This window comes from Homo sapiens, chromosome 2 (genome assembly GCF_000001405.40).
Source record: "Homo sapiens chromosome 2, GRCh38.p14 Primary Assembly".
NCBI classification, from domain to species: Eukaryota; Metazoa; Chordata; class Mammalia; order Primates; family Hominidae; genus Homo; species Homo sapiens.
In genome coordinates, this window is record NC_000002.12 from 159,160,400 (window position 1) to 159,175,864 (window position 15,465).

The following is a 15,465-nucleotide window of genomic DNA, read 5'->3' on the forward strand; positions in this document are numbered from 1 at the left end:
ATTTTTGAGAGTGATTGACTGGGTTAACCTGATTAGGAGTTTGAATTTCTGTAAGGTTGGAAGAAAGAAAGATGTCGTTTATTGGAAGAACCAGCTTTCTCTTCTTGGGGACTCCGGGGCTGCCATGTTTGGTGTTGTTCTTAGGTTATGCAGGGAAGCCAGACTGATTTGGCCTTCATCTGCTCAGCTGGATCTGCCTCAGGGCTCGGATGGAGCTGAGCCAAGATGAGAGTGTCTGGGCTTCCACCTGTGTAGGCTACATCTGATATTGAATCCCAGGAAGGAGTGTCAATGGAGTGGCTTCAGATTTTCCAGCCTCCCTGCCTCTGAGAACCCTGGGACATGTGGACCGTGGAATGCCTCTCTCACAGGAACTTTGTGAGGGCAGCAGAAGGGCTGCCTCTTCTTCCTCACTAGTCTCCTTCATATAAACACTGACCTTACAATATGTTCATTTCTAAATGGTTACCCCATCTGGGACTTCTCTTCGCAGTGACTGCTCCTGCAGCTGAGCCCTTCCTCCCCCACCCCTTTTCCTTCCTCTCCCTGCCAGGACCTGAGTGTTACCCCTCCGCCCCCTCTCCCCCTCCACGAGATGCTGGGCACAGTGTAGGGCACATGTCTGCCAGTGAGAGCCACACCTTCCACCTGTCCTGCCATCAGGAGCTCTGACCTGGCCTTCCCAGCCATCCTCAGCTGCTCCATGGGTCCCTGAGGTCCTGATTGCAGTGCTGTCACTTGTAACAGGAAGTGAGCTAAGTCCTTATTTCCCCTGCTTGAGGTCCTAGTTAGGACTCAGATCTTTGGGGTTTGATTCAGAAGTGCTTGGCACTTAGGGAGAGCACTTTGACTTTTGGTTTAATTTTTCAATTTACAAATACGTGCTTTCCAATGTAACAGCCACAAAAATAAAACCAAACAAATCCCCTATCTCCCTAGCCTGGAACTCTTCCTGTCACTTGGATGTTGGAGTAGCCTGTGAACCTAACTTATTACAATATGTCTGAGAAAAGCATTTTGAGTTGCAAATGCTGGATTTAAATGTGAAGGTTTGTAACACCACAATCTGTGTTATGGGATGGCCCCCATTTTTATGCTTCAAGCTTATTAACAGGATTACCATTAATAAGCAATAATCTTATCAATAAATTAGACCACTCCTGAAAAACATTAGCACACTTCTAGCATATAGCAAACCTTCAGTAAATGCTAGCTTCTGCTGTCAACACCACCATTGGCATTTTTATGATAGAAAGAGTCATACTTGCTATGCCTATGTTCATATAAATGGTCTATTTAAAAACACAAGGAAGGCTGTGATTGATTCCAAAGAGGTGGAGGTATGGTTTAATACTGCTGATGGAACACTGGCAAATGCTGGGAATCATAACGATGGGCACCCAAAATCAGATCCTGAACTCTGGTAAGTGAGATTAAGTGTAGTGTCTCTGACCACAAATGGAATTGAAGTTTATTCATTTGCTCATTCATTCAATTAGCAAGCATTTATTGAGCACTTACTATGTGCTGTGCTGTGCTATTCAGAAAAGGAAAAGATAGCCATGGATACTCTAGGGAAGGCTTCAGCATTTATGTGGGATTTTTTAAAATAGGCAACCAGAGAGGGTGATAAGTCCAGGCTGCAGCAGCAGGAGGAGTAAAGACAGTCAGAATTGTGACAGGATGTCCTGGGCCACTGCAAGGAAATAGTTTTGTCTTTACTTCTAAACCGTAAAGAATATAAACAAAGCTAAACCCTTCAGACCCTTTGATCCTAAATAACTGACCCTGAGCTAATTTACCAGCCTTCTGATACAGTGTGTATCATCTTGGTGTGTGGCTAAAGCAGCCTGATCCAGGAGCTGGGTTCTGAATGCACTTTGGCCCTGTGCACTCCCATTTAACAGGCGTGGAGTTGAGGGCCTAGGTGACTGGAATCCAGATAGGGAAAGAGGCATCGGTGGACATGGCCCCTGTTCTCAAGGACGCAGCCAGCGTTAGTTCTAACAGTGGGGCAGTGTGAGTGGCCCAGGTGATGATGACCTGTGGTTGCAAGGGGATCCCATATGGCTCAGCATCTTTAAATTAGAAGTGACTCTTTGTAGAAGCTATGTAGGGTGAGTATTGCTTCGCTTTTTGACCATGTTCTTTCTGCTCTTTTGCCAAGATGTTTACAAAAGGTTTTTTGTACCTTTTTTCTGTGCTGGTTTTCTTTCTTGGAGATTAAATGTGAATTCTGCAGTCATAGTATACCTTCTCCTGCTGGTACTTCACCTGCGCTGGATATGGGAAGGTTTTCCATTTCGTGTTGCTGAGGAAATAATAAGTCAGTCTCTCTGGATCATCTTGAATAGATGTTATAAGCTTTAAGGGTCAAATTCTCTGTTTGACTTTATAATTGTATTTTTGTTTCTAAAGATTTTCTCCTGCACCGTTTCTGCATTAACCATTCTGTTGTTTGTTCCCACTCCCCCACCCCCAGCAAATGTTTTTAATTTGGAAAGTATATTTAAAGGTTCAAAGGAATTTAATGAGAAATGAATTCTTTTGTGAGTAATCTTTGTTAAAAAGAGGATACATTATCTCCAGGTTACATAATTTTACTCTTAACTCTGATACTTTTTAGACAATTTTTTTCATTATCTTCCTATCAGAGTTTCTCCCTCGCTCCTCTTCTCTGTAGAGTGATTTAGCAGCTTATTTCCCCTGGTAAGCCACATTCTTCTAATTTACCAAAATACATTGTATGGAACATACTTTGATAAAAATCTGTGTGGACTGGAAAACTTTCCATTGATCCTGGGGAGGGCAGTGTGCATGTTTTAATTCTTCAGCCCCAGCTGTGCCTGGCCTCCTTCAAAGTATTTTGGTCTTTCATTTCAGCCACAATTACAAGTTCATCCGAAAATGATGACCGGAGTGGCTCCAGTTTGGAATGGAATAAAGATGGAAACCTAAGATTAGGGGTTCAGAAGGGAGTGCTTCATGACCGCAGGGCAGATAACTGCTCCCCAGTGGCAGAAGAGGAGACCACCGGGTCAGCAGAGAGCACGCTGCCCAAAGCAGAATCCTCAGCTGGAGATGGTCCAGTCCCTTATTCTCAGGGCTCCAGCTCACTAATAATGCCACGGCCCAACTCAGTTGCAGGTAAGGCCACACCTTTCCCTGGAAGGATTATCTCAGGGATACCAAGGTGCCCTGTGTTCACTGTCTTCACATGGGAAGACACTCCAGATACAAGCCAGCTTCGTGGCCGTGGGTCAGGCACTTACCTTTTCTAAGCCTCAGTTTACTAATCTGTAAACACAATAAGGCTGTACTTAATGGTCTTTAAGTGATCCTTCTGCTCTGGAATTCTTTAAATCGATTATTTGGACTGTCAGGCTCTTTGTATATAAGAGAAGAAAGTATAAAAACTCTCCTCTCGGTTTTTGTTTTAAGCCTTAGAAAATTCATTACTGTTTATTACCTCCTGGTAAATGGGAATTGTTGAGTGAGTTTGTTAATATCAGCTCGAGGATCTTCTTACCAAACTTACAAACTTATTTTTGTCTAATTGAGGCCGATTGTACAGGCAAGAGGGCCGAATTTCTGTACAATTTAGTTAAAATGGAGCTCACGGCTTAAAATGTAAGCAGTGGAAGTAGGAGCTCTCAATCAAGGAAATGAAAATATTCGAGATAGACATGCTTTACCGAGATATGCAGCAGCTGGAACAAAGAAGAAACCACAAAGGCTGGCAACTGTCAGTAGTCAGACTGGTCACCAGGTGTGTGTCAAGCAAGGAGAATACAGTCAGTCCCCTGTATCTATAGTTCTACATCTATGGATTCATCCAGCCATGGAGCAGAAATACCCAAGGAAAAAAATCGATAAAAAATAATAAGAATTTAAAAATACAGTCTCACAACTATTTACATTGTATTAGGTATTATAAGTAATCTAGAGATTATTTAAAATATATAGGAGGATGTTTGTAGGTTATGTGCAAATATTATACCATTTTATAGTAGGAACTTGAGCATCTGAGGATTTCGGTATCCTCAGGGGGCCCTGGAAGTGATCTCCAGTGCATAGTGAAGGATGACTATAGCTCCAGGTGGGTGGGGAAAGGAGCTCTCTGCATCTGAGCTGTGGGGCCTGTTTTTAAGGTTTCTAGTTTCTAAACTCCATGCCCTGTGCTGAGTTTAGAAGAGGAACTTGTTACAGTCATTCTTTGTTATCAGTGTAGCACTTAACATTTCTCTTCTACTACTGCAGGGACCCAGATTCTCCGCTCCTACGTCAGAGAATTTCTCTGTGATTTATACTGTGCTTTCAGGATGCGGTGGGTCACTCTGGTGGTTGTTGGGTGTTCTTTTACAATGGGACTCTGAAGTAGCTGATAAATAAGTGGCCCTAATGGAAAAGTGCTGAGGCACAACTCTAATTCACTTTCAAAGGAAGTGAAATGGCCTTGTTCCAGAAGAGGGATTTGGCATGTCTGCTGGAGAGAAATACTAGAGAACATTATACGAGTTGACTGATAGTCCTTCCACAAGCTTTCCTGTCCTCCCACCACTGTCCCACCACTTTAACAGAGTATGTGGCACCCAAGGCGCTTTAGACCGTATTTACCTAGTTATGATGAATGGGTCATTTGTATTATCCCAGAACTTGATCACTTTATTAACTTCAACAAAAATAGTGAACTTGTGCTCAATTTAGTCAAGCTGTTTTAAAATTAGGAAACATTACTGTGTTAATTTTAACAGTGTTAAAAGCATCCCATTTGGGGTTGTTTTCTGCTCGATGTTCTTTATGGGTCTCCTGCCATGTGAAGTGACAGTGGGTGTGAGCTGAGCTTTTCCAGGAGGCTGCCGTGATTATAGAGCAGAGCTTTCTGATTTCTGCTGTGCGCATTCATTAGCTTCTGCGTGTGCCCTTGAGCTAGACCTCCTGTGGAATGGGAGGGTTTCACCTCTAGATTTGAGCAAAGTCTACCTGGCCTAATGGGTTTGCTCATTTCTTGTGTGCTACATGTTTTTTAAACTAAATGCATATTTTGAAAGGACGTGAGCAAAGGCCTATTTCATGATATCTGTTAACAAGCTAGGAGTCTGGTAGATTCTTCATTGCCTCCCTTCCTGCCCCTGAAGTTGAATCTCAGTTAAGAGGAAATGGCAAGATTTTTCAAGTACCATTGAAGAGTAAGATTCAGGTTGTATAGACTCTATGCAGCACTATTTAGTGATTAGAAGGCAGGCTGCTACAAACAGGGCAGCAGAGAACACTCAGTGTTAGAAGAATCAGAATAATATGTGAAGGACCGTATACAGAAATCTCTTAGAAGTATTTGCATGTTATGATCCAGGTAAACAAATTGCCTTTTGGTGGGAAAGGTGTTTTGGCATATGAGGATTGGCAGGTAAAGGAAGGGTGATGCCAGACCTCTGTTCACAGCCTCCTCATGGGGCTGGCCCCTAGGGGATTGGGTGCAGAAGTTCTTCCTAAGGTCCTTTATTGAGCTTGCTACAGAGAATGAAATTGTCTGTTAACCATGTAGTACAGTGACAGGTTTTTTTATTTTTATTTTTTGACAAAGATTATAAAAATAAGTTGGCTAGGTTTAAAGATTATTTCACTATACAGATTTTCTTTGTAAAGATATTTATTAGAGTGGGATTGGTTTGGACAACTATATATCACATCAAAATGCATGACATGGACACCTCTTTCCTTTATTAAAAACAGACCTAGAAGCCTTTAAAGGTATGTTTTAAATCAGAAAGAAGTTGGGTAATGGGTTCTATTTTTTACCTTTCAAAATACTTTCTGAGTGGATTATAGAACACTGTGTTTAATTTTCCAGGAAACAAGCATGATTGCTATCCAGTTTTCCTAAAACTGGTCATTGCCCTGGACTTATTGGCATGGACTTTCCATAGGTTAGACCACAACTTTAGCAAATGTTCTTCTTTGTTCAGCTTAGAGATGTCTCCCTCTGCCTTGCCCCACCAAGCCCACCCTCACCAAAAAACGGACTTTCCTCCACATCTTGAAATGTGCTTCTTATCCAGATGTTAGATATGGTGTGTGTGTGTGTGTGTGCACAACAAGTGTATAATTAATTTCGCTGTAGAGATTCTAGCAGTGGGTTTATTGTAGCATGAAATTATTGCTTTACCTTTGGGTTTTTGGGGCCCTGAGTAGTGTCTAGGATTTTGAAAGCGTTTATGGGTAAATACTGAATGTGAGTCTGACTTTTGCATAGGTAACAACTGAGAATCTACTGTAGGCATGCCTGAGAGGGCAGAGTGGCCCAAGTTACCTGCTCAGAGGGTGGGGAGCACCTGGGCACATAGCTAAGCCACTGAAATCTTCCTGCCCTATTCACTGGCACCTCTATTGGTGGCTTCGAAAATGCCTCAGAAAGCTGAGATAGCTGGCAGGTGGTGGCTTATGGCCCTGCTGCAGCTTTCAGCTCGGCTTAATCGTATTTGAAATTGAGAATCAGCCAAGAGCTGTGGAAGTGCTGAGGCTGCTCTGTTGCAGATTTTGGTGCCGAAGCTCTAGTGGCTGGGAATCTGAAAACAGGCCTGTGGAATCTTAACATCTCCTGTACCTGTTTAGATACAATCTAGGGCATTTTTGCAATCCTTTATTTGGAATGTCTTTTATGGTCACATATTTTTAATCCTTTCAGTTGTTATAAATTTATAAACTGTTCTAAGGAGTCAGGGGAAGAAGGGAAATAGGCAACACTTTTGAGGCTCTAAAGCATCTTTTTATTCTCTAGGGCTGCAGCATTATGTCAGATGTTCATGACTGTTCTGGCTCTGAAATGAATTACGGGTTATGAATATGGCTGCCTGCCCCTTCTACCTGTGCCTTGGTGGGTGCATTCACCATGAGGCATGTGAGGAGAAGGGTCTCAGTGCTCAGGCAGGAGCCTAGAAAATGTTCCAAGCTGTGTTACTGTAGGGAGGTAAGAAGGTTTGGGGAAGACAGTGTAGTCCTGTTAGCCCTCCGGGAGATTTTATACACCCTACTTATGAAGGGCCTAGAGAGAAGCTAGACGCTGTCCTTGGATTACCGTACATTCGATCCATTTAAAATCCCCAACAAGTAATTAGCTGAGTCTTTCTAATGGGAAAGATTTGTGTGGTAGCTGGCAAAGTGCATAGAATATTCACTTAAATGTGTATACACTGTGGATATGCACCAGGAGGATACAGAGGCATAGGTGCATGCTGTCGTGAAGTCAAGGTTTCAGGTGTTTCTTGCTCGCTGGGAGGATGAGTAGGCAGGGCACGTGTTGGATTGCCCTTTGGAGGATGCAGCGAGAGGGGATATGCCAACACAGTCAGGCCTGGAGCCACCCAGGTGGCTGTTGAATGAAGGAATGAGAGAGGATGATATGGATAGTGAGGAAGAGAAGGACTGAGATCTTAGTAGGGGGAAATGGAAGGGTGCAGGTAGGACGGATGGCACTGGTCGGCAGCTGGATGCTGGGTCAGAGCCTGTTGGGCAGCCAGAGGGTTTTCAGAAGACAGATGGCCCAACTCGACTTCTGTCCCCTGCACCTTGGTCCCACTGAAGATGTCCCCAGTGCTAAGAAGGCTTTACCCAGGCACTATGTCTCCCTCTAGGCTCTCATTTGCCCTCAAGTCACTGTATATTTTCTTGTCCTGAAAGATAATAATCTGACTAAGATCAACAGTACTTCATGTTGGGCTTAACCCATAAACCAAATTAGGTTAATTTTAGATTTTCCTCAATGTAATAACAGGAGGGGTTTTTAAAAGGCAAAAACGTGTACTATGTACTTGCTTCTAAGATTTCTTGAGAATTAGCAAAATTATTTTGCGGTAGTTGTTTTTGTAATCTAACTCGTATGAATGTTTGAATAGATCTTTAATTTTTTTTTTTTTTTTTTGAGACAGAGTTTTGCTCTGTCACCCAGGCTGGAGTGTAGTGGCACGATCCTGGCTCACTGCAACCTCTGCCTCCCAGGTTTAAGCGATTCTCCTGCCTTAGCCTCCCAAGTAGCTGGGATTTCAGAGACCCGCCTCCATGCCCAGCTAATTTTTTTTGTTTTTTAGTAGAAATGGGGTTTCACCATGTTGGCCAGGCTGGTCTTGAACTCCTGACCTCAAGCGATCCACCCGCCCCAGCCTCCCAAAGTCCTGTGATTACAGGCGTGAGCCACTGCACCCTGCTCTTTAATGCTTTATAACAAATACTTAGGTGATATGAGTCTTACTGACTTGGTCAGAGGTAAACATAACTTATTTTTATAATAAAAAACACCAAAAAATGCGGTATGATATAGAATGTGTATATAAGTCTACACATATATTTGAAGCTTAGGAATATGATTATACTATTACTACTGAGCCAACTTTTAGTGTTCTCGGTGCTGTGGAATTGTACACATAGAATCTGCCCATTTAATTAATAAGTTGGGAATTCCAAACAGCAGAAAGCTCCCCAGAGCTGCAGAGAAGAATCTAGCAGCATGCCACCTGCTTGTGGTGTTAAGTACTGAAGCTTTGCTGTGTGCCACATGATTGTCAGATTTCCTCATCAAACACTTTATGGTGAATTCTGTCTCTTTCCAGGAATAATGGAGAATTCTGACAACTCAGTCAACATAACTTTAAGAAAAAGAAGCATTTGGTTTTTACCACTTTTCAACTAATGATACTGCCAGAAAAATAAACTGGGGCAAACAATATCAAAATGAAGTTTAAGTAAATTTTGTTGAAAGCCTGAACTGAATTGCTTAGTGATTTATAAGTTATAGTCACTTAGGTATGAAATTTAAAGTCACCTTTGAAGATACTAAACTTCAGTTTAATATTACAGCAACAAGCTCAACCAAATTGGAAGATCTGAGTTATTTAGACGGGCAGAGAAATGCTCCTCTACGGACGTCAATTAGATTACCATGGCACAATACGGCCGGAGGTAGGGCACAGGAAGTTAAAGGTATTTATCCTGGCATCAGCTGCGATAATGGTTATGACTAACTCAGTCAGTAACTTTGAAAGTCTGTGATAACCAGCATTGAAGCCAACTGTGTTTATAACATGATGGAAAGTGTGTTTGTGCTAAAAGCATATCTGTGAGGTGTGCTAAGAGGTCATCCTCAACAGTTTGGGGCTTCTTCCTTTAAAATATGTGATTAACTTGCTTCTGGAATTGAAAAAGTAATTCTGCAGTAAGTTATTTTGAAGTGAGGGGTAGTTTTGAAGTGAGGGGTAGTTTAACACTCATTAGGTGTTTATTACTAATAAAGTATAAGCTTTGTTTCAATTCTTGGACTAGGCCAGGCGCGGTGGCTCATGCCTGTAATCCCAGCACTTTGAGAGGCCGAGGCAGGTGGATCACCTGAGGTCAGGAGTTTGAGACCAGCCTGGCCAATGTGGTGAAACCTTATCTCTGTTAAAAATATAAAAATTAGCTGGGCATGGTGGCAGGTACCTGTAATCACAGCTACTTGGGAGGCTGAGGTAGGAGAATTATTTGAACCCAAGAGGCGGAGGTTGCAGTGAGCTGAGATCGTGCCATTGCACTCCAGCCTGGGCAACAAGAGTGAAACTATCTCAAAAAAAAAAAAAAACACTTGGACTGTATTGGCCATGTTCTCTGTCTACCTGTAACACAGTTGTGTGAGGTACACAGCAGCCTCACTGTACAGGCAGAGTCATCACACCTGGATGAGAGCAGAGCCCTATTTCTAGGGAAAACATGTTTCTGTTTTATTCATACAGCAGGGAAGAAGCACGTCTTAAATGCAGTTCCAGATGAACCAATGAGACATGATTTGGCCCCTCACATGGCTTTCTCTAATCCTCTGTGTGTCTGCCTTGAGTCCTGAGAATAATTCAAAGCCATGACAAGACTAGAGAGTAATTTCAATAGGACACTCTAGTTTCCTATTGGTCCAATAGGTCCAATAGGGTATGGTAATTGAGGTATTACAGAAGTATTAATAGAACGAGATTGGAAATGCTTACAGACAGATCCTAGTGGGGGTAAAGCTAAGGATTTAGTGTAACACACAAGCAATAATATTTGAGTTTCTTAGTTTATAAAATTATGACATTTTTCTAAAATTTTTTTTTCTTCTTTTGAAGCACGATTTGCTCCCTACAAGCCACAAGACATTTTGTTGAAACCCTTGTTGTTTGAAGTACCAAGCATAACAACAGACTCTGTGTTTGTGGGAAGGGATTGGCTCTTTCACCAGATAGAAGAAAACTTGAGGAACACAGAACTGGCAGAAAACAGAGGCGCGGTGGTGGTTGGCAATGTGGGATTTGGGAAGACGGCAATCATTTCCAAGTTGGTGGCCCTGAGCTGCCACGGAAGCCGCATGAGGCAGATTGCTTCCAACAGCCCGGGTTCATCACCTAAAAGTACGTGCATGTTTAATTACTTGTCTAGTTTATTAACATAAGATAGATGGAGGAAATTGCTGTTCACATAGACATAAAATACCAATTTTCCTCAAGTTGTTGCAGCTACTATATCAGGTTTGCCATCATGTGTGAAGTGAACTGTTTCAATATGTCCCTCCATCATGATGTGTATTCAGCTGTAAGCTGGGGCGAGGCCAGTGTTCCCTGATGTCCTCCTGAACTGTAACCCCCTCTTCCTTTAGATACAGGCAGAGATGGGCCAGTGAGGCTGATCAAGTGTCCTGGAGAATTTGGGGCCCTAAGAGCAAGGGGTTGGGCTCCTGGTAGAACAAGCTCAGATGGACTCTAATGTGGAGTTCTTTTGTACCCTGTTTGGCACAGCCTTCGTCTTCTGTATTGGATTTTCCAAAATTATAAAGACATAGGATAGAGTAGCCAAATGTTTGACTATTTACTGTTTATTTCATATGCAATAAACCCACTCTAAACATGGTGAACAAGTGAATCATGCGAGATTTTTAAGACACAAAAGAATTTAATAGGCCAGGCGCTGTGACTCACATCTGTAATACCAACACTTTGGAAGGCCGAGGTGGGAGGATCGCTTGAGCCCAGGAGTTTGAGACCAGCTTGGACAACATAGGGAGACCTCGTCTCTACAAAAAATTCACCAGTCATAGTGGTGCCTGCCTTTTGTCCCAGCTACTCAGGAGGCTGAGGTGGGAGGATCGCTTGAGCCCAGTAAATGAAGGCTGCAGTGAGCTGGGATTGTGCCACTGCCCTCATGCCTGTAATCCCAGCACTTTGGTAGGCCAAGATGGGCAGATCACCTAAGGTCAGGAGATTGAGACCAGCCTGACCAACATGGTAAAACCCCGTCTCTACTGAAAATACAAAAATTAGCTGGGTGTGGTGGCGGGTGCCTGTAATCCCAGCTACTTGGGAGGCTGAGGCAGGAGAATCACCTGAACCCAGGAGGTCGAGGTTGCAGTGAGCCGAGATGGCACCACTGTACTCTAGCCTGGGCCACAGAGTGAGACTCCGCCTTAAAAAAAAAAAAAAAAAAAGAAAAAGAAAAAAAAAATTTAATAGAGGAAACTGGAAACAGTACACTGATGGCTGTTCTCCAGGGAGGGGAACCAGTTGGGTGGCAGACAGATGGGAACCTGTGCTCTCATGTGGACCTCTGAATTTTGGACCATGTTCACTCCTTGCTTATTAAAATATGCCCTGGCACAAATCAAGAAATATATTCAATACCACACCCTGCTCCTACTGTGATGTACATAATGAAATGGGTCTTTCTCTGCAGCCTCTGACCCCACTCAGGATCTTCATTTCACTCCGTTGCTTTCACCGAGTTCTTCCACAAGTGCTTCCAGCACAGCTAAAACACCTCTTGGGTCTATCAGTGCTGAAAACCAGAGACCAAGAGAGGATGCAGTGAAATATCTTGCTTCTAAGGTAATCTTTCTTGTTTTATTGGAGCCTTCCACATAGAGAGATTTGCTGGTTTGGTTTCTGAGAAGTAGATTGGAAAAGGGAGCTTAAAACAGAGACAACTGCTTAATGATAAAGTATAGCTTTTAATGAAATAGTGATACAGTTCTCCAAGTAAAAGTGTGAATGACAGTAAGTATCTGTTTTAAGACATTGGCAGTGGACCTGATCCATCTTAAACAATGGATTGAAAGAGTTCCTCAAGGCAGCAGAAGGTAGCATGTGCACTCGCCACAAATCCATGCTTATCTGCATGTGCTCTTCCTAATTTGGTATGTGAGCAGGAAATTGGGAGCTTTTGACTTGACCCAGACCTCTTCCCCTGCACTCTGTTGTCTGAGGCCTTTGGTTTCCTTGGCTTTCTGACAGAGGTTTCTCGTGAAGTTGTAATAGAGCCTTCCTTGGCTAACTTTCCCTTCTTAAATTTGTGATCATCAAGGTCTTTCTGAAGTTTTTCTTCTGCTTAGCACCCATCACTGGCTCACCAACCGCACTCCTGCATTAAAGCAGTTACATCCCTTGCTCCTAGTGAGCTACTTAAGTTTCCCTGGGCAGCAGTGGTGTGAGTCGGTGGAGCTGGAGAGCTGCTGGAGCCAGCAGCCATGGGGACACCTTGTGAGGAGGCCCTGTGGGGAGGTTGGTGAGGGGAGCTGAACCGAATCTTGCCCTGCACCAGATCCCCGTCCCTTCTGCTTTCCGGATGATGACTGCTCTTGGCGCCATCACCCCTGATGGTTCTGACCACTGGTTCAGAACAGTCCTCTAGTCATGAGTGGGTGATTTGAGATGAGTGATGTAGTGCAGACTTCAAAGCCATCCCTGCTTATGGTGATTTTCAAACTCCATTGACTGTGACCCACATAAGAGATACATCTTACACTAGAGATCACTCACACATAATCACCCACATAACTAAAGCATTTTAGAACTATGTTTATTCTTATATCCTATAATACACTCTAGTGTTCCTAAGTTTATTTTTTAAAAAATTGTGGCTCTAAATTGATTTCAAGGCCGGGCCTGGCGGCTCATGCTTGTAATCCCAGCACTTTGGGAGGCCGAGGCGTACAGATCACTCCAGTGGTCAGGAGTTGGAGACCAGCCTGGCCAACATATTGAAACCTCGTCTCTACTAAAAATACAAAAATTAGCCAGGCATGGTGCCAGGCACCTATAATCCCAGCTACTCGGGAGGCTGAGGCGGGAGAATCACTTGAACTCAGGAGGCGGAGGCTGCAGTGAGCCAAGATTGTGCAACTGCACTCCAACCTGGGTGACAGAGCAAGACTTCATCTCAAAAAAATAAAATAAATAAATAAATAGATTTCATGACCCACTGTTGGGTTGCCAAGCTGTTTTTGTCAAATGCCATGTGAGACTGTGGTACTGGACATCTCATGATGGTTTGCACAAGCTTACAGGATCCTCACATGTATCCCTGCTAATTTCTGTCCAGGTGAGAGTTGGAGAGCAGCCAGCTTTCCTCTGTTGATGATAAATTTAATCTAAACCAAAAGTCTCATGGCAACTCCAGGTTGGCCAGAGAAAAGCTGTTGCACATTTACTTTTGCCACTTGCCTTTTAAAGAGTCTGCAGACTTGGGATCTAATCCCACATCCCTGACTATCTGTGTCAGGTTGGCAAGGCATCTAACCTCAGTGTCTGGTGCCCTCAGTGATGAACTGTGGCTAGTGGTTCTTGTCCTACTTCCTGCAGGCGCTTGCCGCACCCAGTGGGACAGCAGCAAGGCAGATACTCCCAAAAAACAGGTAGCTCTTGGCACGAGTGTTTTGCTCTTCTTTTCCTTCCTTACCTTCTACTTGTGTTTCTCCTATCATCCTCCTTTGGAAAAGTATTGGATTTTTCTTCTATCTATAGCACGCCTCCCATTCCCAACACTTCAGCGTCTGGCCCTTTCGTGGGGTCCCTCTCACAAACAGCCTGCTGACACTGCAGGTCCCTTGGAACAGGGACCATTCCTTTTCCTCTCAGTACCTGGGCAGCTCCCTCTCAACTCCAACTTATCTCTCCACACGATGGGCAGAGATTTGGTGATTTCGGGTTTCATTCTTCAGACAGTGCCCCTGTAGAACTCCTCCACAGTGTCCCTTGATGCAGTGTGGGTGTGGGGAGGGGCCAAGATCTTGACCCTCCTGACCAGGAGAAGGAGCTGCTGTGACTCTACAGCCCCGGTCTCACAGCCACTGGGTTTATCATCTGCCTTTTGGGATCAGCAAAAGGGTTTCCTAAAGAGGTGCCGCTGCTCTTGAGAACAGAAACCTAGTGAAGATGGCACTTTTTGATGTTGAGAATATTAGGATGGCTTGGAGCTGCTGTAAGCCAGGGTAGGTTTTAGGTTTTATGAATGCTGTTTGTTTATATTAAATACAAAAATAAAAAAATAACTTGTGCTGATTTTTATGCTAATCAAGATGGCTTTGTGGATGCAGTTAAAGGTCTGCAAACCACATAAGTGAAGGAAGGAATAAATGGAACAATTATGCTAACAAATGACCCAGTCTTGGGGAATAGATGCTATGTATCTTGTTACCAGCGAATGGGCAGAGTTGTGTTCCTGTTTGAGATTGCAGAAGGAGCTGTGTGAAGAGGGTGAGGTGATGCTGACGGTTCTGCTTCCCCCTAGGTGGTGGCCTACCACTACTGCCAGGCTGACAACACGTACACTTGCCTGGTGCCCGAGTTTGTGCACAGCATCGCAGCTTTGCTCTGCCGGTCCCATCAGCTGGCCGCCTACAGAGACCTTCTGATAAAGGAGCCCCAACTACAGAGCATGCTGAGCCTCCGATCCTGTGTGCAGGACCCGGTGGCAGCTTTCAAGAGGGGAGTGCTGGAGCCACTCACAAACCTGAGAAATGGTACTTCGCAGCAGCTACCCACAGCCCCATCTCAGTAGTGGTACAGCAGACACAGGTGGTCCCCAGAAGGCAGGTGGTCAGCCGGGCTGGGGTAGAAGTGAGGTGGAGCATGGAGAGGATGTCGAAGCCTCCGTGCCCATCCACTCCTCTTTCTCAGAACCAGCCCCATGAGGTCGCTCCTACACCACCCCTATGGTATAGTGTTAAAAGAAGCACCCTGATAAGAATGAATGTGATGACTGAGCAGTTCCAAAGTAGTCAGCTTGTAAGTGTGGGCTGTTTAGGTGACTTGCACCACAGAAGACTGTTGCGTATTTTGCACTCCTAAGTATCTGAGGGAATAAGTGGATTATTTGGAGGAATTTTCCAGCATATATATTTGTCAGGGCCTCTGCTCAGTTGAATTGAAACCTTAAAGTGACTTCTAAAGGTTTCCATTTTAATTGTTTGTCCCCGACAAGGTAATGGACATCAGTGACCTGATGGGCCCTTCAGTTTCCCATCCTCTCTGCCCTGGACTCCTCACCTTTTGAGCTTGTTTACTTGCCCACATGGCACCTCTGCTGGAAGGTGCTAGAGGGATAGAAAACAGATATGTCATCATTTCTTCTCTATTGCCTGGGCAGAAAATCAGCACTAATAAATAGAAAACCAGATTCAGGCTCGCAGAGAAGAGCCCT

General features: G+C 43.9%; 1 protein-coding gene across 40 annotated transcripts in view; it reads left to right on the forward strand.

The window, feature by feature from the left end:
* TANC1 (tetratricopeptide repeat, ankyrin repeat and coiled-coil containing 1) overlaps positions 1–15,465 on the forward strand; it is a 264,020-nt gene that overhangs the window by 191,760 nt on the left and 56,795 nt on the right. For 17 of the 40 annotated variants that reach the window (XM_047446107.1, XM_017005141.2, XM_047446118.1 and 14 more), the window contains 5 exons: positions 2,884–3,147; positions 8,851–8,973; positions 10,125–10,406; positions 11,722–11,873; positions 14,554–14,785. In XM_047446107.1, coding sequence (XP_047302063.1) covers positions 2,884–3,147; positions 8,851–8,973; positions 10,125–10,406; positions 11,722–11,873; positions 14,554–14,785 — 1,053 coding nt within the window. The remainder of the gene's footprint in view (positions 1–2,883; positions 3,148–8,850; positions 8,974–10,124; positions 10,407–11,721; positions 11,874–14,553; positions 14,786–15,465) is intronic. The other 23 variants (NM_001350065.2, XM_047446108.1, XM_047446109.1 and 20 more) reach the window with 4 other exon arrangements.